At 35.7% G+C, this 27572-nt stretch overlaps 1 protein-coding gene and 1 long non-coding RNA gene across 39 annotated transcripts in view, besides 3 other annotated features; one reads left to right on the top strand and one right to left on the bottom strand.

The window, feature by feature from the left end:
- MEF2C-AS1 (MEF2C antisense RNA 1) overlaps positions 1-27572 on the bottom strand; it is a 584252-nt gene that overhangs the window by 551032 nt on the left and 5648 nt on the right. For 3 of the 9 annotated variants that reach the window (NR_136222.1, NR_136217.1, NR_104031.1), the window contains exons 1-2: positions 27070-27242; positions 11280-11341 (exon numbers count right to left, since the gene is read on the bottom strand). This is a non-coding gene — a long non-coding RNA (MEF2C antisense RNA 1). Of the gene's footprint in view, positions 1-10776; positions 10849-11279; positions 11342-26855; positions 26938-27069; positions 27243-27572 lie in introns of those variants that run through there. The other 6 variants (NR_136220.1, NR_136221.1, NR_136218.1 and 3 more) reach the window with 4 other exon arrangements.
- Positions 12445-27572, top strand: part of MEF2C (myocyte enhancer factor 2C) — a 186989-nt gene continuing 171861 nt past the window's right edge. For 22 of the 30 annotated variants that reach the window (XM_011543396.4, XM_017009478.3, XM_047417190.1 and 19 more), the window contains exon 1: positions 12445-12634. The gene's annotated coding sequence lies outside the window, so the exon portion shown is untranslated. Of the gene's footprint in view, positions 12635-27174; positions 27500-27572 lie in introns of those variants that run through there. The other 8 variants (XM_047417194.1, NM_001364329.2, NM_001364330.2 and 5 more) reach the window with 1 other exon arrangement.
- Positions 26142-26676: an enhancer, noted in NCBI's record as "H3K4me1 hESC enhancer chr5:88185691-88186225 (GRCh37/hg19 assembly coordinates)". NCBI's record gives its function as "activates a minimal SCP1, AML or CMV promoter by ChIP-STARR-seq in naive H9 embryonic stem cells {active_cell/tissue: H9 hESC(naive)}" and the evidence as "EXISTENCE:reporter gene assay evidence [ECO:0000049][PMID:30033119]".
- Positions 26677-27213: an enhancer, noted in NCBI's record as "H3K4me1 hESC enhancer chr5:88185154-88185690 (GRCh37/hg19 assembly coordinates)". NCBI's record gives its function as "activates a minimal SCP1, AML or CMV promoter by ChIP-STARR-seq in naive H9 embryonic stem cells {active_cell/tissue: H9 hESC(naive)}" and the evidence as "EXISTENCE:reporter gene assay evidence [ECO:0000049][PMID:30033119]".
- Positions 26891-27090: an enhancer, noted in NCBI's record as "active region_22767". NCBI's record gives its function as "activates an Ori minimal core promoter by ATAC-STARR-seq in GM12878 lymphoblastoid cells {active_cell/tissue: GM12878}" and the evidence as "EXISTENCE:reporter gene assay evidence [ECO:0000049][PMID:35858748]".

Genomic DNA, 27572 nt, shown 5'->3' with positions numbered 1-27572 from the left:
AGGCTGGAGTGCAGTGGCGCAATCTCGGCTCACTGCAACCTCCGCCTCCCAGGTTCAGGCGATTCCCCTGCCTCAGCCTCCTGACTAGCTGGGACTACAGGCACGTGCCACCACGCCTGGCTAATTTTTTTTTTTTTTTTGTATTTTTAGTAGAGACGGGGTTTTACTGTGTTAGCCAGGATGGTCTTGATCTCCTGACCTTGTGATCCTCCCGCCTTGGCCTCCCAAAGTGCTAGGATTACAGGCGTGAGCCACCATGCCCAGCCCAAAGACTTATTTTTTAAATAATGTAAAATACGTCCATAGTTTTATATCGATCACCTGTTGATATAATAAGATTTGGGGGTATATTGACTAGAATGCATATATTATTAAATTATTTTCACATATATCTTTTTACTTTTTACTGTGGATACTAGGAAATTTAAAATTATATATGTGGCTCACATCATATTTCTCTTGGATTAGTGCATGTCTAAAGGCATTGTGAAGAAGAATAATTTTTTGAAGTATATCATGCTAGAAAGGAAGGATGCACTGGCATTTTAATATGATTATTTGATATAAAAATAATAAGCTACTCAACACACGCTTCCCCATAGCTAGGAAAAACATAAACATTTCTCCTGACGAACTGGAATCTCCTGCCCCACTCTGATCTGATAGTAGGTGGCATCATTTCTATGCCTCTCTTTTTCTCCAACTGGCAGAAAGGTGAGCCTAAAATTCAAGTTATTCAACTGCAGGATCTTTGAGGGAGGTCCTGGTTTTCTGGTTTAGTTTTATCCTACGCCCTTTTATTACGTGCCTTTGTTTTAATCCTTATTTTAATGGTTTTATTATCATAAGTTACCAAGATAGCGTTTTGGAACCAAGAAGAGCTATGGAGAAACAAGAGAGTGAATGAGACTCATACTATGGTGCAATCAGTGAGATGCCACCCTTCAGAGCTTGGAAAGACTCATTATGTCTGAGGCCCATCTCTCTGATACAGGTGTGAAGCACAAGGGATGTTTAGCAATACCAGCCAGGACACACATTTGGGATCACAAATATACAGCAGAAACTATTCACAACTGACAACCACAGATCCATAAGACAGAAAGGCACCATATTCAAAGGGCAGAAAGAGCACTGAAGTCATGCAAGCAGCTGTAAGTAATAGGGTATCATATCAGGCAGAAGTAGCAGAGACTATCAGGAATACTTAGAAATCAGGCAGATGGTGGCCATCATCAGATCTGATTCTATTTCATGAAACACCACAGAGTGGAATTAGGGCATAGTGACAGCATCCAAAGATCCAAGGAAACTTAGCAGAGGCCTAGTCCCGTGTAGACAGAAGAGGACAATTTCCATATCTATAGAGCCACACTGGCCCCTAGGATATAATTCGGAATCATGGCCTCCCAGATCTAGTGAACTGCACAGATTCCAGCTCAGAATGAGCAATAATACGGGAGCCCAGCAGTAGTAGCAGGGCCACTATATGTACCCAATGAGGAAAAGAGAGTCAAAGGCTCCAAATATGCTTCCTATTGTTGCTGAGTTTGGTCCAGGGACTGATAGGTTTGCTGCAGGTGGGAGTAGATTCAGCACACTTTTGTTCAGGCAGAAGCAGAGGAGGGAAGGAAGATGTGGCAAATGCCTTCTCTTTATAAACTGGAGGGATTATAGTGGTGCCTATACAACTCTTGTTTCAAAATCAACGCTTTAAGAACTTTAAAAGAAATACTTCTTCTGAGCCTGGCCAACATAGTGAAACCCCGTCTCTACTAAAAATACAAAAAAAAATTAGCTGGGCATGGTAGCGGGCGCCTGTAATCCCAGCTACTAGGGAGGCTGAGGCAAGGAGAATTGCTTGAACCTGGGAGGCGGAGGTTGCAGTGAGCCAAGATGACGCCATTGCACTCCAGCCCGGGTGACAGTGTGAGACTCTGTCCAAAAAAAAAAAAAAAAAATTCCTCTTCGGTGGCTTTCCAAATCTATGGAAACCGTACTGCTTCCTGTTAATTCCTATTCCTCTCCATAAATGCTTGTAATATTTTTAATAGTATGGTTGTGTATATCCATTTTAGCACTGGTGCAATCTTAATTAAGGTTGTAGAAAAAGTATAGAATTTGTGGAACGTTGTGTAACTTTGAGAATCCTTATGACTGCATTTTAAAGAAATAATTAACAACAAGGAATAACTAATAATTTTTTCAGCTATACAGAGAGATATGAGAAGACGAGGACACAGGAAAGATCATGGCCATATAAAAATCAGGACCACAGAGTCACCACAAATTATCAGAAATATTCTAAGTGAAGTATACATAAACTTGACTATTTTCTTAGAATGATTTTAAAAGATTTAGCACAAAAATGGGTTTCATTTCAGATAATCAAAATCAATAAACATTTTAAGTGAAAAGTAGTACACAACTGACTACAACAAAAAATGAGGAAAAGTCTTGGGACTGAATCAAAAATAAATGACCTGTTAAATGTAAAGTACATTATGACTATATAAGCAAAATTAAAAAAAAAAGGCCCAAGACCCAATGAATTCATCAATTTTTTAAAAAGAAGCATGAGATCAAAGGTAGAACTAAGTGGTGAATTTCACAAAGTAGACCTAGGCAATTTCAAATTGGCTGCTATACTCTTCAAGGTAAAGGACACAAACCAAAGGTACCTATATATACTTTTCGTGATATTTATTTCAAGGAGACAGATCAAATTAAAAACTTCAAGAATGTTTTCTGCCTGGTAAATATTCCAGCAACCCACATAAGCACTGACTCAGACACTTAGTCCAATAGAACTCCAAAGAGGTTTTCCTGACACTGAGAAGAGGGGGTGAGTTTTGGGGAAAAAAATTTTAAAAATAAAGTACTTCCAGTCTATATATTGTAAACTCACCTATTCATGGATTTGTGAAATTTAGAAACAGCCTAATAAAAATTCTAGGACAACTGAGTTGTCACAATGTCACAAGAGCACAAATTCATATTGAGTGACTTTTCTAGTAATATGAACAAAACCAATATAAATTTCCCTCAACATATCAGAAATAATATATATTCTATTTAGTTCCAAGAAAGAAAAAAAACTTTTATAACTTGAGAAAACTCAAAATATATGACAATCTGTCACTAAATTAAAATAAGCTATAGTAATAAGTGACTATGTAAAAAACCCACTACAACTATGCGTTCATCTTCACGTACAAAGGCTATTTCTAAATGGGTCAGAGTAAAGCTTTGGCTGATACATGCTGATGGCAGAATAGGGCCAGAAATGAGCCAAAGCTGTGTGTATTCCAAAACTCATTGATATTTAAATCTGGAGTGGGTCTTTGTGCTTACATTTGAACATGTTGTGAGAACATGAGCCTCCTGTTGCTTTGTAGTAATACATGCTCATTCTTACAAAATGTTTGCCTTGTATGGTTATAAAAGGAGGGCACATTACTTTGGTGGGGGTAGAGGAGAATCAACACAACTATTTTGCTAGTGCACTACTGCTAATACATGTCCTGCAAATAGAAGCATGACCTGATGGGGAAGCTTTAAGAGACAAGAGTAGTAGAGACGTTGTCTTATGACTTGGGAGTGGGAACAAGGTATTCCCCCATATGTATGTATTACTTCCCCTTTGCTAAAATAAGTGCAAGAAATAACTAATGGTTTTCTCCGCTATAGAGACAGAGATAGGAAAGGATACAAAAAAGACCATGGCCATAATAAAAATCAGGACTACACAGTCACCACAAATTACCAGAAGATGAGAGAGAAATACTCTGTCAACTATACTACTGGCATACACTGGAATGTCTTCTTAGAAGAAATTTTAAAGGATTTAGTGAACAACCAGTTATTATTTCAGAAAATAAAAATTAATACAAATTTTCAGTGAAAGGTAGTATACAATTGGCTATTATAATTGGCTGTTTAGTTCTTTGTACCCTCCACAAAATTGCAAGATATTTTTTAACTTTTTATTTTAAAGTAATTAAAATTTCACAAAAAAAATGCAAAGAAATGGACGGGAAGGTCATGTGCACCCTTCATCCAGTCCTCATTCTCAATGTTAACATCTTGCAAAACTGCAATATTAAAACCAGGAAACTGACAATAGTACAATCCATGGAGCTTTTCATAGAATCCATAGATATTTCACCAGCTATACATACAGTTATTTTTGTTTGTGTATGTGTGTATAGCTCTATGTCATTGTATCACATGTGTAGCTTCGAGTAACCACTAGCACAATCAAGACACTTAACTGTACTATCACCATAAGACTCCCTAGTGCTACCACTTTATGCACACCCCACCCTCTCCCCTTCCCCTCCCTAACCCCTGGCTACCACTAATCTTTCTCCATAATGATCTTATTTCATGAAGGTTGTATAAATGAAATCATTCAGTAATGTATCTTTTTAAGACAGGTTTTTTTTTTCACTCAGCACAATTTCCTTGAGGTTCATCCAGGTTGTTACCCATAATAACAGTTTGTTAGTCTTTATTGCTGTAGTCTATAGCATGCTTATATCACAGTCTGTCCAACCATTCACCCACTGATGGGCATATGGGCATTTCCAGTTTGGTGCTATTACAAATAAAGTTGCTGTGAACGTTCATGTTCAAATTTCTGTGTGAAAATTAAATTGCAACATTTTTAAGGGAATGAGTGGTGTTTTATTCACCATTGTATTCTCAACACTTCATATGACACATAATAGGTAATCAAAAATGTCTGTTAAAGAAATGAATGAGTGAACCAAAAAATTGCCTCTAAGTGGCAGAAAATAAAAAAGGACTCATCTGTTGGGGGAAACCTAGTTGGGAGGAAATAGGCCAAGAAGAGGTCTTGAAGTGGCACTGGTAGTTTGAAGACTACAGCAGTGTTTCAGAAAGATTTCTGACACACGAACAAACACACATCAATCAGAATATTTTTAAATTTAATTTAAATATTGAGCTTCATATTAATAAACTGTTTGGATTAACAAGCTATAGCTGACCTTTTTAAGAAACAACTGGGGAGACTTCCATTTCTAGCCAAGATGGACTGAAAGGGACTGGATGTGCCCTGCTTCCTGAAACAACCAAAAATAAACCCCGACAAAATATACGAAACAATGGTTGTCAAGACATGAGCTATCAGACCACAAACGACGTTGATCCCTGAGGGAGGTGAATCCTATGACGGCTCTGGCTTAAGCCCGTGAAGGTTTCTTAGCAGTGGCACAGGAAGGGCAACTAACTCAAGGGAGGCAAACTCCATGAATTGAGGAAACAGAGCTAAAGATATGGGATAATAAAGCAGCTAGAGCTTACAGGACAGAGTTCAGGAGAGAGCAGATGCACAGACAACAATCTCTTGAAATCTGCAGAGAGTCTCAGAGATCTGGATATGTGCATGAGGAAGCTACCCAAGGCTGAGGAAAGAAGCATCGGAAATAATTATACGGGGAACAGTACCTGGCACCTTCCTACGGCTGGAAATAGGCCTTTTCTCACCAGTCAGAATGGAAAATCTCTTAATTCATATGCAATTAGGTAGAACCTCAGTAGTGAGAAATGAGGTAGACTATGCACTGCTCTGGTCTCTCCTGGCTAACATTTTAATCCCAAAAAATTGAAAGCAAAAAGAGCCAAGTGAATCTATCTATATCTAGCTGGTGGCATAATCACACCAAAAGAAACAATTTTACATGACTTAAAACCTCAGTAATACATACATCTTTAAAGAGAAGAAGGGGGCTGTACACAGGGTGTACACAGGATGTGTACATCACTACTGATGGTAGTAGTCTTGGTATTATTATTCTGAGCCTGTTGTAAGTGTATTTGTAGCATAAGCAAATAAGTACGCTACTATCATTAAGAATTAAGATTGTAGGATGGTCAGCTGGGAAGAAAGGACATTGATATGATGCAAGATTTATGTGACTAAATTAAAATCCTGTTGGCCTGTATATTAATAGGAAGTATTAGTGTGAGCTCCTGATGTATTTAATCTTAAAATTAAACACACACACGCACACTCTCACACACACACATACACACACTTTTTATAGCTCTTTCCTTTGAAAGGGCCTAGATTAAGGACAAAGTCAGTAGCAATGAGCTCACTAATTTTAAGATTACGGTTTTCAAGTACTAGTTCCAAGTCAAAAAAAAAAAAAAAAAAAGAACTAAAATTTCTTGGATAATTGCCTGATTCCAGGTTGGGAAAGGAAATATTAAAGATGAGCCTGTTATATTTTGTCACACCAATTATCCTGGAAGCTCTCAAAAACTTGAGGTTCTTTCAAAAACACAGAGGAACCAACTGAGATAAACTTTGAGTAATCAGAGATGTGGCAAACTGGGCATTCATAAGTACGATAACTGCAATAGCTTGAAGTGCATTAATGTTCATAATGAAATTTTTTAAACCATTGGTAAACTTTAGAGGATGTTAAGGAACCACACATTATATTAAGAACTGATAAAGGGAGAGAATAAAGCATCCATCCTGATTTTCTTATATAAATTGAAACTCTAACAAACTAGTTTATCTTTATAGAAGCATTCCACCCAATAAATAAACCAGAAATGACAATTATATTGCCATTTTTCAAGCTCTAAGGAATAAATAGATGTAGGCAATGATCAACAACACCTGCTAATGTCACAAAAAGAGAAAGAGCCATTAGTCTTGCCCCTCATCCCCTAAATGAATTTCATCAAGTTTCTAGAGTCTTCACTACCCATTAACAGGTAAGAAACAAGGCTGAGGAGCTCATTAAATGACTCTGCAGGAAAGCATCAGCAAATGCAGACTATGGAAAGCTCTACAGCACAAACAATCCAGTTTCTTAAGAAACAAAGAAAAATAAACATAAACCTATAGATTAAAAGAAGAGACATATTAACCAATTACAGTGTATGGACCTTATTTGTATCCTGCTTCAAACAGTAAAGAATACAAAACTTTAGGAGACAACTAGAAAATTTTGAATATTGGTTTTGTATATTTGAGAATAGTAAGAAAATGTTGACTTTTTAAGTGTGGTTAATTTTCTAGATGTGGTTCATTTTTAAGTTAAAAAAATCTTATCTTTTAAAGATACAGACTGAAATGTTACCAGATAAAATGATGTCATGTCTGGGATTCGCTTCAAAATAATTTGAGGTGGAAGTGGAAAGTGGAAACAACAATTATGAAACAACCTGGCCCATGAGATGATAGCTGTTGAAGGTAGGTATAGTTATACAAAATTTCATTATACTTTTCCCTCTACTTTTCTAATATATTCTGAATTTTCATAACAAAAAGTTAAATACACTTAAAAGTAGACAAATACATACTAATTTGAGGTGGTGGTTAAGGACTCAGAAGTTACAGTCCATGTGTCTGAATGAAAGTAGTTTCTCAAACATGCAGATATCAGAGATTTGTGGGATTCCTTCAATGGAGAACCATGTTTTCTCCACACAGAACACTGGTTTCTGAGCAAAAGTAGGCCCTCTTCCTGAAAACAGATCTGACAATATGAAAGTGGTTGGCTACTTAACTGAAGATACCAAAAGGAAAAAAAAAAAGGACACCAAAAAACTGGGTCTACAAATGTGGTTGTTGGTTCTCCTTGTTTTTTTTTTTTCAAATAAGGCTCGGTTTAGGAGCAGTCTAATAGAGCATGTGACTGCTATACTTCCAACAGTATCTTTGCAAATAAATACAACCCATACAATTCAATTGTCCATCCCACTTTTCCTGTTTGTTTATTGCTCTTCAACAGCAGTTTCACCTCATGCTTTTTAATTTTTTCATTCTGAGGCAAGGAAGAAGGATCTTTAGAGTTGTTAAAAAAGTTTCCTGAAGTCAAGTAATTCATTAGAAAGTATGTTTTATCCAGAATCCTATTGTTTCGCTGCAGAAGGAACACTCAGTAGCTTGTCCAAGGTTCTGCCAAAGGAAGTCTCCTCTCTCTCGCTTATCTGAATCCTATCCTTCCAAAAGAACATGCCCAGGTCCAATAAATGGAGTTCCTAAAAGGACGGATGTCTCCCATTTAAAAAAATATTTCCCAGAGTCTCTAGGTTCAATGTCCTACAAATAATCAGCATTCAAGATATGGATTTACTAACTTTTAAAATCTATACAAATTTAAAATTTTCAATATTATTTTATACACAATTATCCTATCTATAATATTACTGTCTAGCATTATTATAAAAGTATCATCACAAATCCTAATGATCATTTCCACTAAACGCCTGAAAAGGTCATGGGAGATTTAAACTCTGATGTGTGCTTTGGAAGTAGAGTCAGCTTTTGGAGAAACAAGGCTAGGGAGCACTTTTTGAGGCCGATTACATTTTTGGAATTATTTGCCAAGTTGTATTGCCAAGTTGCATTGCAGAACTTGTAAGAAAACTTTTTCCTTTTTTTATTTTTATTTTATTTATTTATTTATTTATTTTTTGAGATGGCGTTTCACTCTTGTTGCCCAGGCTGGAGTGCAATGGTGTGGTCTCACCTTACTGGAACCTCCACCTCCCGGGTTCAAGCGATTCTCTTGCCTCAGCCTCCCAAGTAGCTAGGATTACAGGCGCCTGCCACCATGCCCGGCTAATTTTGTATTTTTAGTAGAGACAGGGTTTCACCATGTTGGTCAGGCTGGTCTTGAATCCTGACCTCAGATGATCCGCTCACCTTGGCCTCCCAAAGTTCTGGGATTACAGTCATGAGCCACGACACCCAGCCAATTATAACTAAACTTTAAAAAATATTTGTCCCCATAGTTAGAATTTTCATTAGTGTATTTATCTTTTTCATGTAGTCTTGTTTACAAAGGCCATTTTAAAAGTTGCTGTCCCAGGCTTATAAAGTAATTTTATAATGTCTTCCTATCGACCATATGAAAAGCATTCATCTCTGAGAAAGTATCATAAAGAAATTCTACTGTAATAATTCAAATATTAAAGTAAACATAAAAAATTATACTGTATGACAGAATACCAAAAGAAATAGAAAATCTCTGCAAGAGGGTATTTAATTTCTGATGAAAACAAAATAGTACTCTTTACAATTTGGCCTATCACATGACAGTATTTCTCAAAATCCTGCTAAATTAATGTTGGAGCATACTTCTTCAGGCATTAATGATTTCAGTAATGGTCAATGGTAGTTGATACAGATAAGAAATAACTGATAGTGATATCAAATCTATACATATTTGACTCTCCCCACATTTCTAAGTGACCTAGACCAGAGCTAGGTTGTTTATGTGGTAGCCACTAGTTACATGTGGGCTATTTATATTTAAATTAATTAAATGTAAATAAAATTCAAAATTAAGTTTCCCTGTTGCACTAGCCATGTTTCAAGTACTCAATAGCCACATATGGCTAGTGAGTACCATATTGGATGGTGCAGCTATGGAACATGTCCATTATCACAGAAAGTTCAACTAAACAAGGTTGGTCTACATTAGAGAGGTTACTACTGATGAATGGAAAATCTCAAATATATACATAAATGTGTGTGTGTGTATATATATATATATATATATATACACATTTATTTCTATAGCAATTTTCCTTTTGTTATAGGAGGTTTCATTAAATATGTCAAATTTAAATTTTTTTTCTGGAAAAATTTATATTTTAATGTAAACAGTTAAAATTGTGCCATGAGCATTGTACTATAGATTTTCATTTCCCTTGTATTACAAGGAGAATGAATTCAAAAGATTCCATTTTCTCAAAATAGTGAATTATAACATTACCTGGTCTTCCCCTTCAATTAGCATTTTCTTTCTTTATAAACATCTATTCTAAGCCCTCTCTGCTTCCAATTTTACTCAGCCAAAGCCCACTTTTATTATGCAGCAAGGAAATCCCACTTCTGGCCTCAAACTCCACTGAAAGTGGAGTTTGGTAGCACTTCCGGTCTCAAACTCCACACTTGTGAAGTTTGTGAGTTACATAAAAAATTAAATTCCTAGCCAGGTCTTCCTATTGGGTGAGGAGGCCCTTCCAAAGTTCCAGCGAATTCCTTAGTCTGACAACTTTTCTCAATTCAGAAAGATGTGTTTGGTAACATATATTAAAAGGCAGAAATATGCAAATGCATAAACAATAGAATTTGACATAATTATGTGATAAAGTGAAATGCTCCTGCAGTTAGTTATTGAACATGAAGGACCTCTCTAATTCTTCAGAGAAACTGTGAGATAATCTCTACCATTTATGCTTAGCAAGGAGTCATGCTGCAGAGGAAAAGTAGAAATACACACGAGTGACAAAAGCAAAAAAATATATATATGAAAAACTCTGAAACCACCCTCGATGAAAAGTAATATGTCTGTATTTAAAGAGCAGGTAAATCATATAGTGAATTTAGAAGGTAAAAAACGAGGTCTATAATTACATGAGTATATAGAAAATGTTAAGTGTTTTCGTGAAAACGTATATAAACAATAATGAATAATCATTTCACATTGAAAATAATTTAATTTTAAAAGGAGATAGTACAAATAACAAAAAAAAAGTCGAAGTACGGAAATAGTAGAAATTTCAAATATTTTAGGAATGTCTTTCTCCAGAGTAGCATGTTGTTTAGAAACTAAATTTCCACAGTAGATTTCATAGCTCCTGAACATGAATTAAAACTTTGATATTAGCTGCAGAAATGTACATTAGTTTGTGGGGAGGGGATAAAGAAAATGATGTGCCAACCTCCCAACAATTTCCCCAAACAGATTTTTGCATCTTGGTCATTACACTTACTTTCAAGATTCTTTTCTTGGTTTAAACATGTAATCTTGTCTCTTTGCTCACCTGCTCACTCTTCAAGCAAGCCTACAGCCAAATAAATTGCCATACATGTTTACCAATAAACCATTATTTTCCAAGGAATTTTTTCTTAATTTTTAAAATTTAACAAGTTTAACTACAATTAAGAAAGTACTCCCGGCACAAGGACTCTGAAACATTGTTTGGGTCTTGGAAAAGTTTGAAACTTCCAATTCATTAGGATTTTGAGTAGCTGTTTTGTACCTAAGAATGAGAATTGATGGAGAGAGTGGTACTAAGCACATAATTTTATGAAATATGGTGAAAACATGAGAGTTTTGTTATGACGCACATAACAATAAAGAACCTGTTTCTTTTTAGCAGGCTCCTAAAAAGTACCTCCCTTATAATTATTAAATAAAAACACTCACTTATTCAGTACTCAGCTAGGTTTTAAGATCTGAATAACAGAAGTACACAGTGAGAGAGGTACTTACATGGTTTCCTTGGATACTGGATGATGCCATTCAGGTCTATGTTTTTATCTGAAAGTGGTGCCCTGTGGAGAAACGAGGCTTGGTGAGTGGCTGTTTATACATAGTAAGTAAATAGGAACTTTGTTTATTTTACAAAGCATTTTTTATTTTGACCCAGCTTTCCTTTTCTCATCACACCCAACTCCTGTAAACAGCAATAATATGGTAGAACAGGTACTCTGTACAACTCTTTTTAACAACACTTAAGAAATCATAATTATTAAGGCAGAAGCTCAGAATGCTTTGGCTAAGGATGTTACTCCTTGGGCTGCTTTATATATCTTGACTATTTTATTTATGTCAGACATATTAATGAATATTGCCTGCCTCTCTATTTTCCTCAAAAGGAATATTGCTCAAACCACTAATAAAGAAATTAGTCTAAAACATTCACATAAATGATAAACGTCCTTACCTTAACCAAAAGATAAGAGAACTCAAGCTTTAGCCAGTTTCTAAACATGAAGGGTTTCCATAGACCTTAGCTGCCATTTTACATGTTCCAGTGGCATCCTAGATTCCCAATAGTTTTAGTGCTATGAGCATACAATTTTGACATTCAGTCCCTCAGAACTACACACATTCTAATTTTGGTAGTATGAATAATCTCTCCTATGTGATAAGTTATTTAACCTTCTAATATTTCTTAGAATCGAAAAGAACAAATGAGCTGCAACAAAGAATGGCAAATAACTTTTATGCTTAACACAATTTAATAACCTGAAATGAAGTAAGTATGTGCTATGTTTCCATTAAAAAGTTTCCAGCCACAATTAATTGAACGAAAACTTGTCTTGTTCCAAGATTATTCTTGGAAATGTAATTTTAAAATCTGCTTGAAATGAGGAAACTTACTTTTTTATACCATATGAAAGCAATTTCATTTTTTAGGAATGATTTTTGGATAGACTTCCGATTGGATATTTTCCATTGGAACTAGCAGCATAGGGGGTCGGGAGGGGGGAGGGGAGGGAAGCAATTCTGTGTTCTTTTGCCAGCACTGACAAAGGTCTGGTTGTCAGTGATACCTTTACAGCTAAATTTACTCCAGAGTGACAGAAACAGGTGCACCTCGGCCTGCCAGACACTTGTGCAGAGAGATCACGCATCTCACGGCTTGACGATCAAGGGGGCAAAGCCTCGGTCTTCATAGAAAAGGAGAGGAGGCAAACGCAGCCCAAACTGGGGGGTTTCTCTTCAAAGCCAGCTGGTCTGGCTTTATTCTGCAGGAATTTTTTTACCTGTCAGGGTTTGGACAACAAAGCCCTCAGCAGGTGCTGACGGGTACAACTTCCTGGAGAAGCAGAAAGGCACTGGTGAGTTTCAATTGCCAAAATATATTTTTTAATCTCTAAAAGTTAATTTTGTTGTCTTGAAAGAGGCACCACTGAGGTACCTGTGTTCACAAAGTTGATGAGACCATTGGAATCAGAGCCAACTCACTCAACAGTGGGTTTGCCTTGTGTGAAAGTAAAGCTGTTACCATATAACAATTTTTTAGGTTTTTTTTTTAGGTTTAAAACAAGATTCTATTTTTAAATATTGGTCTCTTTCATTACTGTTTTCAATATTTGGAAGATGAAGAGTTAATTACATTTATAATATTACACGATTTAACACACATTTTAGTCTCCTTTTTATCTAATTCTGTCATAATCTTTTCTGAATAAAAAGTTATTTTCTAATAAATCTCCCAAATAAAAAGGTGTAATGGTACATACTATTTTCAAAAATTACATGTACTGGGTTTTTTAAAATGTGTGCATGCTACAAGAACATGATTAGAGAGAACATGCAATTAACTTTATTTTAATACATTTTTAAAGCATACATTGCATGTATAATTAAATAATTTAAAATATATTGCATGTTTAATAATTAAATAAAAGTAAATTGTATTGTAGTAAATATTATTTAATAATTAAAAGTGGCAATATTTTCTCATTACTTTACAAAGAGCGTCTTTTGAGAAAAATCTTTGAAATTAACAACCAAGACGGTATTAAAGCATGTTTTTACATCACTGATTTCCAAAATTCGTATATTTATATATTTTTTATTTTTATTTTGTTAATTCAAAAGTTTAGGCAAAAATATTTTTTTCAGAATAGGACTTTAATTAATGCAAAACATGAAAAAATGAGACCACATGTTAGGACATATTTTTAAAAAGTGACTCTATTTCAGGGATTCATTCTTTTAACTATGCTTCACAGCATTTCTCTACAAATTGTTGTATTATAGTAAATTGAAAACATTTATTTAAGCAAGTAAGCAGCTCAAAGCTAGAGCCTATACGTAGTAAACATATGAAACCATTTTAATAACCAAATTCCATATTCACAAGCAACATGGGCTAATGAATTTAAAAGAAACAACAGTATACATTGATGAAGAATGCTATAAATTATTATGGATAAAATCAATTTTCTGGGCTGTGGGGGGTAGAATTGGTGCTTAAGAAAGAAAAGACTCCTACCAATATAAATTACTAATACTATGAGGCAATTGTTTTATTCTGATGATCCCATAAATAACTTTAAATCTACATCCTTAACACATGATTGTATAGTGGAAAAAAAATAAGGTCTGACTTTTTTAATGACCACTGTACCTGAAATGATTTTTAAATCAGTGACGACATGGATATGCCACAAATGTATAACTAACATACTCTTTTAAACTGTTGTAATTGCTGTTGAAAATTATGAAACATTTGTGGTTTAAAAAATTATCAGAAATACTCCACCCAAACAAAATAGCTAATATTTTAAAAACATAACGTTACCCACAAACATTTTAATGAACCCCTATTTTAAAACATTAAAACCCAAATATACTTTTTATTATAAATTGTTACATATATATTTCAAATGATTAAAACATTTAAAAATATATGTGTATTTATTGCGATTTCAAGCTGCTACTTTCATATATATTTTGTCATGCTTCATTATGTTTCATTATATTGATTCAGACACCTGAGTAACTATAGTCGCTAAATTTTTAGAATAACTTCATTAGTCTCTTAAAGAATTAGTATGTATTTCATGCACTTGAAAATTTTACTTTTATTTTTCTAGTCTGTTAAATACTATATTCCTAAACAATCACAATATTTACTTTTAAAGATGATAGTTACTGCAAAACTGAACAACATGTGTTCTTATGTCAACTTCAGAATTGTATTTGTTAAGTTTTCACATGCATTACCATTGGCTATAATTATTACATTGTCATTAAGTATAAGCAAACCAAAAGCTTCTGCCAAACTATTGTTTATGACTCTGTCAATTATTTAAGTATAAATGAAGCTACTGGAAATAATATTAAATATAGCTCAAATATTTCAAAATAACTAAAATTTATCATTTTAGCTGTGCCTGAATTGTAGACTTAATCTAAAATCCCATTTTTTAAAATTTTCATTATGAGAGGCTGTAAATTCTTGTCCACCATGCAGCTATGTTTGTCCTTTCTAATAAATCTTCAACATTGTGTCACAAAAAAACCTATGCCAACTCCCTCAATGTATGGGAATGGTTTATTTTAATAAAATATTGGAGTTTAAAGTAGCATTGATTTACACCTGCTCTAAATATTTAACATTAAAACATATGCATTTTAAACATTATTTGCAAGTTATCTTCCTATCTTACAGATAGCTTATTTACAGTGGAGAAAAATTGTTTTCCTGTTTCAGAAAGACACTTGGAAAAACATGTTATTTAACCTTATATATTAATAGGGAAAATCTTGATTCTCCCAGTAGTTAACTTCAATTAATTATATTTTAAATATCAGCCTATTTAATTTCAGTGCAACAAAATTTCCAGCTAAAATGGTTTACTTGTAAGTATTTAAAGCAACAAAAATATTTTGGCAGCTTTATATGTATCTCCTCATTGACCAGCCACCTGACTGACAGCTGTCAACTGTCCATGTGCCAAATGTAACCCAGTAAAGATAAAAATTACATATTACTCATCCCTGTTGATAATACCTGGTGCCAGTAGGTTTTCAAATAGGAATAACTAGACTATAGATAAAAAACAAGTAAGTGGGGAATCATTTCTACTGCCTACCATTCCTCCTTTGTCATTAACTCATTTCCCTTTCTTTTTCTTATTGATCCCTTTTCCCTTGCTGTCCATATCTATAGAGTTATTTTCCTTAAAGGAACTTTCAGAATATGTTACAAGTCTGTGTCCATGAAAATACTGGGCAGCCAGGTAATGATGCCCACACATTTCTTTTAGTCATATTTTCTTTTGAGCTCATAAACTATTTCGGAGTTATGGGAAGAAAGCTTTAAAGCTTTCAGCTTCTCATTTTCAAAGAAAATGAAATCAAAGAACAAAAATGAAATTTACCAAAGGTCACCAAGGTGGTGACCTTTATGTAGATACAGACTTGGGTCTGTTTCCCAACTTAATATCCAGGGATTTTTTTTCTAATTAGACTTTAAGCATGTTGACTAGTAAACTATAAGTAACAATGATCACATGGAAAATTAATGTGAATTATATTCCTTTGAAGAACCCTTTTCAGTCACCAAATTTAATACCTTGTTAGAGAAATACACATTTTTATCACAGCATATTAAAATGTAGTTCTAAAAAATACAAAGACTATAAATGTACTAAAACATCTATGGTACAAAAGTTTTTTATTTGTCTTACCATTTAAATGGATTTCCAAACTGGAAATATTTATGAATGTATATGAAATAGCAGAAATAAAAAAATTATCAAAGGTAATACATATATTTAGAAGATAAATGTAGAAATCAAAAATATAAGTTGGAATATAGGGTTTTTTTTAAGATTGGGAGTAATTAAAAATACAAAATATACTAACACATAAGTATATGTATATATCAAGTGCATAATACATTATATAGTTCATATAACTGACTTAACAACTGACTAGCTTATGTGTGTGTATATATAACTATCTTATATTAATTCCAAAATTATTAATTATATTAGTAAATATGGTCTATTTATATAATTTGTTGATAATATTTGTGCAATATATTGATCTGGTCAAGGTCATGAAAATATTAATATTCAAGCCAAATATTTGTCTTCTGGATCTCCAGAAAAGAAACTGTTTAGTTGAAATCTACCACATTCTGAATTTATAAGAATTTATTTTAGTCCTGGGCTTTGGAACAGTACTTGCTTATAAGAAGTATTAGCTTTAAAACCCAGACATGTAAATTAATAAGAAAAAGAGATGGGGTAAAGCTTAAAATATTGAGAAAAAATATGGAGGGAAATTGTGGCTAGGGTTCCCCTGCAAGGGATTGATCTAAAATAATCAACATTTTTATGACTAACAACACCATTTAGCAACTAAATTGTATATCTAAATTTGAAAATATATTTGCTTATTCCATTACATTTAGTCCAAATCAACATTAGTCATTAATCAACAAACCATTTAACAATATGTAATAACAGTATGCAAATCAATTGCAAGCAAAATAGTAAATAGCATCCATTTCTAGCAATTTGAAAGATAGGCAAGTTTAATCATTGCCCTGCATCCCAAAGGGGTTTTAGTGAAAATAAGTGACTTGTCCGGTATCTGCTTTTGAAGGATCATAGAGGCTTCCTCATTAGAGTTAAAGAGTGTTCTTCAAAGAGCACCAGAGCAGAAGTAGGAAGATTTGAGTTAGACTCTCTGTTTCACTGCAAAGTCATTTTGTGACTGGAAACAAGTCACTTAACCTCTGTGAGGCTAATGAATGGATGGGCCTTTTTGGCCATTTTGTACAAATCATAGGAAAGTAAGTTTTAGTTATCCAATGAAAGATATTTCCTCTGTTTCATGTGAGGAAGTCTCAAAAGGAATCTGGAATATTATTGGTGGGTTCCTGTCTGCAATGACTGGGCCCCACCCTATCCCTATTGCTATAAGTAGCCCACCATGTAAGCATTCCAAGTAATTAAAACTGACACACTATCTAGCCTGTGAAGTCAGTGGGGAAAACAAAATCACTTTGCAATATACTCCAGAGCAGCAGGCCTTATTTTTTCCACTTGGGGACCCTAGTAACATAATACAAAAAGTCTCATTCTCAAAATTATGTTATGACACGAAGCTTTGAACTTTTCAGTATGCACTATAAGGCTGAATTGACAAAAAAGTACTGAATGGTCATTTAATATTTTTAATTTTATAGAATGACAGGAAAATTTTTAAACTTAGAAAGATATTCTCCACACACAATGCTGTAAGCCAGCATGATAATATATTTATTTATGTCAGGAAAATGTTGGAACAAGAAACAGTGTTAAAAATATCTGAATCCTAGTACAATATGTCTGCTACATATAGGTATTTAGGTTATGTATGATGAATAAATGGAATGAAAGAATGGATAAATACAGCTGGGGAGTTCAATATTTTTAAGGAAAACTTGTAAACTAAAGCAATACTTTTGCAATAGTAATAATCATTTATTATTGCTATTTTTATGTTCATGAGGACAGAATTAAAACATGATTAATGTATTTTTTAAAAAATCTTAATACAAAAGAGGTTAAAGACCTAAGATATGGATCACTCTGTTGACAAGGTTGGCAAAGATGTGCAGGCCCTTTATGACTGCTTGGCAGATGGAGGTGATTACTGAGGTCACAAGGAACATCTGCATTGATTGAAAATCTCTTTACAGAGAAGCCACATTCCTCAAGTGACTATGACCAGTGCCAGTCCTATTTTCCTGGAGTCTAGGCTCACAGCAGGTGGCAGTCACTGAAGGATGAAAATGTTTGGGAGTCACTTATCACCAATGGTAGAGGTCCCTGGATCTGAAGCCCATTTTACAGGTTTTGCAGAGGTATCAGGACCCAATGAACCGATTCCATCCAAGAAAAGATAATGGCTATCCCTCAATTAAGTAAAGATGAAGAATTGTACAGAAATTTGAGATAATTAGGTTTCCATATTGCTTAACTGGTTTTCTAATTTCAACAGGCAGAATATTTGTGGCATGTCTTTTTTTCTTGTTTACAATTTTGAATCAAGATTCATCTTACTATCTTGAAAGGTTCTCATGACTTTAAAAGTTCCACAAAATTTGTGAACATTAGTGGAGAGAACAGGAGTGAATAACAAACGGAGAGAAAAAAAAATTATGGCATTAGAGGGACCTGTGGATCTTATGCTTCCCCTCACCTTAAGAGAGTAGCATGCAAATAAGTGCTATGGAAGAACCACCTGAGGAGCCTGTTATAATGCAGATTCCTGAGATTGCAGCTAAGTGGGCCTGAGGTGGGGCCCATGAATCTGGATTTTAACATGCACCTGGGTGATTCTGAGGCACTTTGGTTCTTTGAGCTAGACTGTTAACATCCTCACAAGGAGCCCTCTTTTGTGAAGAGGATCAGTTCTCCTGCTCTACAGTAACAGGAAAACTAACATTTAGTGATCCCAAGTCCCAAAAGATGAAAGGGAGCATATGCACACAAGTATAGACTTTACCTTTTAAAATGTATTGTCTGCTATAATTAAACACTACTGTGTTGAGTAGTTCATTTATTTTAATTATCTTATGTAGACTGGAAAATAAGTGTCATCAAATACTAGTGAAAAGCCAGAAAAAAAATCATTCTTAAGTTTTTCTTAAGTTTAAGATGCTAAATAATACAGCTTGAAATGTGATAAAACGGCTTGAGCGAACTCTTCAGGACAGTCATTCAAACAATACAGACAGTGCTTATTATGGAACGTATGAGAGTGTAGAGCATACACATTCACCAAGTTTTAGAATGCTCAGTTAATCATCACTGACCTGTGGAGTTTAAGAGCTTATAGCCCACTGATAATGTGAGAGAAACCATAGGCTTTATTCTCCTGTGGGTGAGTTTATTTTGCGGCCGTAGGCTACACAGACTAGAATCTCACGGCTACGTAAGGATGAGATGAGACTGTGTGGATGCATGAACATAAATCCTTCACAAATACTATATAACCAACACAAGCACAGACCTTATTCATTGTAAGTTAATCATCATTGCAATCATAGAGTAATTACAGTGATTAATAACAAAAAATAATCATAGAAGTTATTCTATGACCATATTATCTATAACATGCATCATCAATTGTTTAGAAATAAGCTCCTTTAGTGAAGGTATTTTATTTTGAAGTGATTCTGATAAATCAAAAAAGAATAATACCCTATGGTTCTGAAACAGAAAATGTAATTTTCCAACGCAAAGGAAAAATCCTGTTAATAACCAGTTGTGCGTGTGTGTGTGTGTGTGTGTGTAGCTTTACTGAGTTCACAACTGATACTAAAGAATTTACAACTTGAAAATGAAAAGAGGAAGCAGAAAAGATGAAGGAAGGAAGGAAAGAATGAATGAATGACAGATGGAAGGAAGAAAGGAAGTTAAATGGAATAGTTGGGAGGAAATCTGTTGGCTAGCTATTTAGCCTTTGCTAAAGGGGTCAAAAGGAATAAGAAAGTTGTAGAATGTTTCTTACTTTAGTAGTGTTCAAAATCTTTTACTTAGAATCTTATTTCTTCCTTTTGAATCTTGAGTGATGATTTTTAATATAAAATTGCATTCCATTTGATATGGATACTCTTTATTTAAAGATTTAAGACTACACTAAGTTGGGAAATATTTGTTTATGTACCCTGTCTTTGCACATAGGAAGATGCTTTATCTGTGATTTAATAGAGGAGATAGAAGGCAGAATGAAATTTGCCCTCTGTCCCTAAACCTCTCCCCAACCGTTTCAAATTCTCTCTTTCATCCAACAAGTGGTACATATTCTCTTCAAAGAGTTCTTAAACCCTGTTCAAGACATTTCTGGATAAATAATCACTAATTACACCTCTGGTGGCTTTGGTGGGGCAGAAGGGAGAGCACACAGGGTAAGTCTGAGTGACAACATAGTCACTATGGTACAAGGGACACGCAGTGGCTGCCTGCCTCATATTGCAAAGAGGGAATAGAAAAAGAGACCAGGGGAACAGGTAATGCAATGTACAATTTTTTAAGTATATAAATTTTCAAGGAGTATCTTAATATTTTGCTGATAGAGAGTTCATCTTCCAATCCCAACATTTTCAAAAACAAAATTGCTTCCTCAAGTAAGGGCCAGGTTTCCCATTTGCTTGCATCCAAGGCTTAGATCTGTGTGGACAAATGAAGTGGCTGCTGGTGGGAGGGACCTGAGACATACTGAAAGTGCTCCCTAAAACACCACCTGACCAACACAGCAGGGTATCTGTGGAAGCATGGATACTCCTTTGGATTATGAATTCTTTTCAGAAAACTTTTGAAGAGAGGTTCATTTAAAGTGATTGCACAATGATACCGTGTCATGGATTAGGCGGCTGTAGTGGCCGGCTCCTCTGATAGAACATAGTTGGAAAGAATTCCGCGGACATAAAGGGGCGGCTGAGGGATGAAAGGACTTTGTAGGTCGCATCAGTGGAAGGCCCAGAGGAGAAAGAAGCACTCGTGAAAGAGCTATTACTGATTGTAAAAATTGCTGCTGGGTGAGTGGAGCATGCCAAAGTGAAAGCAGGGCCTGCTGAAGGTGAGTATAGGGAAGAGAGTGATGTAAAGACAAACTTTCACAACATCACAACTGCGCATATGCTACACAGATAAGAGCCCTGTTTTAAGAGGAGTTCACTGGGATCTAATAGGAAGCCACTAATTCAACATATTTATGCTCAGTTCCCTTAAATTTAAGATTATATAATGAATAAACAATTTAGAAGATGTCTGAGGTAACTAAAAAATAAAATCTTGGAGCATCATTCTGGGCAAATGGGTATGTCATTACTTTCATAAGTCTGATGAAATCCAATAAGAATACCCCAAAAAAGTTTATCTAAAGACAATATTATATAGAACACTGACAAGGATAATATAGTTAGCAGTCCAACATGTAAGACTTCTTGATATAATACATATTAACTGAATAAACATACGACCATAAATGTTTATATTTACTTTATATATCAAATACTTTACATAAAATAACTGTTTGGAAGCATGAAACTGACAGAAAAGAAAACATCTTTTAAAATATCATTACATAACTACAACATTGAGATGTTTTCCAGGAATATGGGGTATTTCTTGAAAGTGAAATGGTATATAATAGCTAACATTTATTGAGAATTTTCTATATGCGAGGCACTAAGTGGCCACAGAAGTACAATTTCATGTGCTTCTCTCGGCAAAATCATTATCATGGGTAGTTCCTGCCACCTTCCCCATTTTACAAAAAGGGCATTTAGAAAATTAAGGTCAAAACAATTATTTAGTGTCTAAACGTGGATTCTGCTCCAGAGTTTCCTAGTTACCCTCCGCTGCCCATTTTATACTCTTTGAAAAGAACATTTCCCATGCTGTTTATACATGATCTATAACTATTAATTTAGTGAAAATGACTTTTTTAAAAAAATACCAGACCTTTTACGAGTGTTACTTGTCAAAACTGTCTCCTTAAAGGTTATAAAATCATATCAAAAATACTTTGAAATTCCTCTTTTATATCTTCAATTAGTGTCAATTTATGAGACAAATATCAAATAATCTAATGCTTTATACTCAAATCTTAGTTTTCATCCTGTTTACTACATTTGGCTTGGATTTACTTTTGGAAAAAATTCATCCTTAATGATAAGGATTTGCCAACAATCAGGCCAGTTTTAAGACTGTGTAGCAAATCCCTGAGGAGATTTCTAAATAGACTTGAGCAAAGACAACATTACTGAAATAAATGAATAGTCTTCTAAAGTGTCTACCTTAAAGAGGATGACATGCCTTTAGATATGTATTTCTGAAATATTTTCTGGTGGGACAAAAATATCTATTATATTATCACTATAAGTGAACAAACGTTATGAATACAAGGAAGCAGTATAGCATCATAGCTAAGGGTAGAGTATTGGAAACAAACACATTGGTTTTATGTCGTTTGGCACTTAGGAACTATGTGGCCCTGGGCAGGTCATGTCAGCACTCACAGCTTTAGTGTGTAAAATCTTAAAATGGGGACAATAATAGTACATGTCTAAAAGGTTGTTCTTTGAATAAAAGGAAACAAAAGTTTATAAAGCAATTAATACAGAGCCTGACAAATAGTATGTGGCCATTAAATGTTAGGTACTTCAAATATTCATTTCAACCCACATTCTAATAAGATAGTATTATTTTTGCATATATACTCCAGATATCATTGTATTATGACTAAGAACATTACTGATTTAAAAGATTTAACTACACATTTAGTATAAATGAATAAATAAGTAATAGTCCGTAGGAAATCTGGCCTTTTGTTTGAGTCTTTGACTCAATCAGTACTTTGGTGAAACAAACTGGTTTTAATCACTCACTTAAATTTAAAAGTTTTATTGAGTTTTACTTTTAATTCTCACCATATTACAAAATAATTTAGAAACTCCTCCCAGTGAAAATTCTGTTTCTTCCTAAGAAATTAGAATATTGATATAATTATGTGCCTCCTTGTTCCACAATTTCTATAAAATTACGTATTGAAAGCATATAGATCTATGCATGATCTTACCTTCTTGAAAACATAACATTTTCTATTATATTGCTTGGTTTAAAATTTAGGATTATAAATAAAATATTTTATAAATAATTTTGTAAGATCCAGATAAGTAGAACATAGTCATTTAAAAAATTACCTAGAAATGGCTTGGTACAGTAGCTCAAGCCTGTAATCCCAGCACTTTGGGAGGCCAAAGTGGGCGGATTACCTCAGGTCAGGAGTTCAAGACCAACCTGGCCAACATGTTGAAACCCCATCTCTATGGGAGGCAGAGGTTGCAGTGAGCCAAGATCACACCACTGCACTCCAGCCTGGGCAACAGAGCAAGACTCCATAAAAAAAAAAAAGAAAAGAAAGAAAAAGAAAAATACCTAGAAAGATAGAATAATGTACATTTTGCCATGCGGTAGCTCTTTTCCTTCTTTTCTAAACTCTTCTGTCTTAACTTGGGGTCTTCACTTAATAACTAGTGTTAGCGTGAATATCAGATATAAAATTTTTATTGACATTCTCTAAGTCTGTTTTTTTCTGTAATACATACTTAATCATAAAATCAGTATAAATCATAAACATCTCAGGTGGGACTTTATTAGAACCAAAAATGCAAAATGACTATGCTTCTGTTTTTCAAGAAATGGTACAGTCCCCTAACACAGCTGTAGTGTTGATCATATGTCTAACAGAACTACTTCTAGGTCCTCTTGAACAGAACGCTCCATTAGGCATTCTGTGGGCTACCCCTTCCCAGCAGGCTTTTGCCCAACCCAGTTGCCATAGACGGCCATCAGACACTTGGAATGACATCAGGAGACAATCTGAGCGGACTCTGACCTAAAGAATTCAAGCTAGGGGGAGACTGAAGATATCAATGTCATCTTGGCTGACAATAGCATTCCAAAGGTCAACCAGGGTGAAAAGAGGATAGACTCTGAGTTTTCAGTGCCTTTTCAGCAACCAAGTGGCTAACAAGTATAATAAAGCATCCCCCCAAAAAAGAAAAAATATCCTAGAGGCATGATGTCAGTGAAAGGGAAATAAGGCAACCTGTACACTTAAGTCATGGTATTTTAAAACATTTTACCTCTTCCAAGGTAAATCTCATCCTGAACCAATTCCCACCTCTCGGATGACCTACTTCTTTCTGCTGTGATAACCCCAGTATAGGTGAATAAAGAACTTAATGGTATAGAAGTGGAAATTCTTTGCATTAGATTAAGAATGGCTAATTTTTACCGCAGTTTGTCACTTTTCCAGCCCTGTGCTTTATGCTGAATAGCTCATTTAATCCTTAAACAAAGTTTTGAGGATAGCACATTTTGTTCCACATTTTACAAATGAGGAAACTGAGGCAAAGGGAGATTTAAACCATATGCATAATCAAACAGTTACCATGTGATACAGCCAATTGGCTGTTGGCCACACAGCTTCTTCCAAGTCAGACCAGCCTTCTCGGTTGTCAGCCATGGAGAAGGTGAGGCCTTCTTCCATGTCTACAAGCACCTGAAGAAGTGAAACATTTTCTCTAAGGATACTGGATTTTAGGGAGAATGGGAAGAATGCTGAACCACACGCAAATGGTAAATTAAGAAGAGCAATAAAGACAATAATTCAAATAAAAATGTAAATCTACACTTTTAAAATAATTTATTGTTATTAATTTAAAATTATTTAATATTCATAAGTACTCTTATTTGGACACTTCGGGGATCCTTAACTAAGTGTTAAGTTAAAAGGTAACTACTATAAAAGAGCAGAATTAATACCAACAGTTCACTCCTAATTAACAATAAGATATATAGAATACAAACATGGCATTAAAAACAAAACAAACCCAAAAGACAGAACAAAACAAAACAATAAAACTAATAAGAAAGCTTATGCTTTGTCTAAATCTTTATGATGTATTCTGTTGCCTTATATGTTTCAGATAGTGTAATTTGTAATAATGTTTTGTTTGGGCCGGGTGCAGTGGTTCACGCCTGTAATCCCAGTACTTTGGGTGGCCGAGACAGGCAGATCACGAGGTCAGGAGATCGAGACCATCCTGGCTAACATGGTGAAACCCCGTCTCTACTAAAAATACAAAAAAAGAAAATATTAGCTGGGCGTGGTGGTGGACGCCTGTAGTCCCAGCTACTCGGGAGGCTGAGGCAGGAGAATGGCATGAACCCAGGAGGTGGAGCTTTCAGTGAGCCGAGCCAAGATCGCACCACTGCACTCAAGCCTGGGCGACAGAGCGAGACTGCGTCTCAAAAAAAAAAAAAAAAAAAAAAGGTTGGTTGGTTATTAACATTTCTGAGCCAATTCCATCCTAGTTATATCATAATCAATGTCTCCGATATCTTTATCAAATTTGAGAAAGATTATGCTTTGCTAAAAATTTTCACTTTAGGTGACACCTTTCCTCCCTGACCTTAAGAATGCTTTTTAGCTCTTTAAGAGGATAATCCCATTTCCTCAGAATTTTTAAAGTAGAATGAAGCACAGTGTTATCCCAATTAGCCTCTTAGAAAAGGCATTATATGAATCTATGACACTACCAATAATACATTTTTAGTTTGGGAGATAGTATTATTCCCCATGCTCCTCATTCTTTGTTAAATGGAATTTCTTCCTGGAGGAATACTTAGCAGTATTTTTTCTTGTAAAAGGGTACTCTTGCCTAAAATTTTCAGTCAAGTTGACTTTCTGTAAGATGAATTTGCCTAGAAAGATGTCCTTGTCTGGCACAAAGTATACTGGACCCTGTTAGGGGACCTTATCTTCTTTCCAAATTTATGACATAACTTTGGGGGCATCACTTAACTTCTCTGGGCCTGATTTCTCTTGCCTATAAAAAAATTAGGTGTCTGGGTGAAGTGTTCCCCAAGGTCTCTTTCAGCAGGAAGATACTGAAAGTCTGACTTTAAAGCTTCTCACACTAGTGCCAAGTAACAGAAACTCCAAGAGTGTCCTAAAATGTGGCTGGTATCAGTCATAAAGTAATTTCTTTCTTTCTTTCTTTTTTTAACCAGCATTCATTTTGAACTCTATAGCAGTATTCTCCAGCAGAACTTTATGCAGTGATGGAAACGTTTGACATGTCGCTGTCCAGTAAGGGAGCCACTAGCCACATGTGGCTATTGAGCACTTGAAATATGGCCAGTGGAACTGAGGGACAGAATTTATTTTTATTTTATCTTATTTTAATTAATTTAAATAGCTACCATCTTGGTAGCCGCTAAATGTTTCAAGAACATGATAACATAAACGTTTTTACACCTTCGATGTAATTGAGTATTCCACAATGCCAGACAGGTCAAAGAACAGCACAGATATCTGCATTTAGTGACAGCATTTTTGTAAGACATCCCAGAACCGTTCCCCTGTGTTAACAAATAAAGGGGGTACAAGGGGAAAGGAAGTTTTCTGTTTTGTCTTTAAAGTGTGTGTTTTATCCTGAATACCCTACTTCTTGCTTTACTTTGTGGCTTTTTCCTAGCCAAAACTCGCACACGCGTTAGCTTAATAGAGCTATGAGTTGGCTTTTGTTTTTTGAAATATAATTCCTTAGATGCTGAGAGCTCAGACTATAAAATCCAGTTTGGGGCCCGTGTTCTTTCCTATTGGTCTGTCAGGTGAAAAACTCCGGCTGGCCAGAGTGGGACAGGGGCGGCGGCTAGACCTGCAGAGCCCCTCTTGCTCTCCCAGGTTTGCAAAATGGTTGGAGCGCTTCGGGCAGCCTGCGTCACCAGACGTGGACCGTGTGCCAGCGCTTTGTGCACTGTTAAAGGGTGGGTTCATTTTACTTGGCCCCTGGTATTTTCGTGGGTCGCTCTGAGCCCATCCCGAGCTCTTTTGGATCGCATTTCTCCAGCCCAGGATCCCAAAACCAGACCAGCAGGACAACTACCCCGGCACTGCCACCGCCCGTTTCCACAGTCCACCCACAGCCGTTGCGCCCTCCTCCATTCCCCAGAGCCCATCACGCACCCTCTTTACCAACAAACCACCGGACGCTTTTCCCCCAGCCGTGACTTCCACAACCCCCAACTAAATACAAGTCGGCACACCCCCTTCCTTCCCCGCGCCAAACCAGCGTGGCCGCCCACTCGTCGCACCCAGGTCCAGCAGGTCCAGCAGGTCCCCAGGAGGGCCCAGAGCCTGCCTCCTGCTCGCCCGTGGCGCACGCACGTGGCGCACTCACCCCCTACCAGCAGCCTCCGAGCTCTAGAAACACTCCAAGGAAGGAACCCCCGCCCCTTCAGCTCCGTCGGCCGGGAGAAAAGGGGGGGGGGAAGGGGGGGGAAGCAGAGACGGGCAGAGAGAAGAGTATATAGGTGATGAGAGCAGTGTTGGAGGGGAGGATCGGCAATAATTGGATGGCGTTGCAGCTGTTGCGCCTCTGCTGAACGCCCAGCCAGAGCGGATTCACTTTTCACACAAATCAACCGGAGGGATTGTTGCTGCCTGCAATCAATAACTCAGCGGAGTGAGTTGCTCAAACTAGAGGCGTCCCTCGTCTGGGTCTTTGAGGGCCGTCCGGATTGAGTCCCAGCGCTCTGCTTTCCAAACAAAGAAGTGGGCACCAAAACGCAGGACGAGATTTTTAATCCCCACTTCCACCACAACCCCGGGTAAAGATTTTTTAAAATGAAAAAGCACACACATAGTAAGGTATCTAGAAGAAACAGTTAAAAGGGGAAGTGT

The sequence above is a fragment of the Homo sapiens genome, chromosome 5 (assembly GCF_000001405.40).
Source record: "Homo sapiens chromosome 5, GRCh38.p14 Primary Assembly".
NCBI classification, from domain to species: domain Eukaryota; kingdom Metazoa; phylum Chordata; class Mammalia; order Primates; family Hominidae; genus Homo; species Homo sapiens.
Note: the sequence above shows the minus strand (reverse complement) of the source record. Positions and strands in the feature narration are given on the sequence as shown.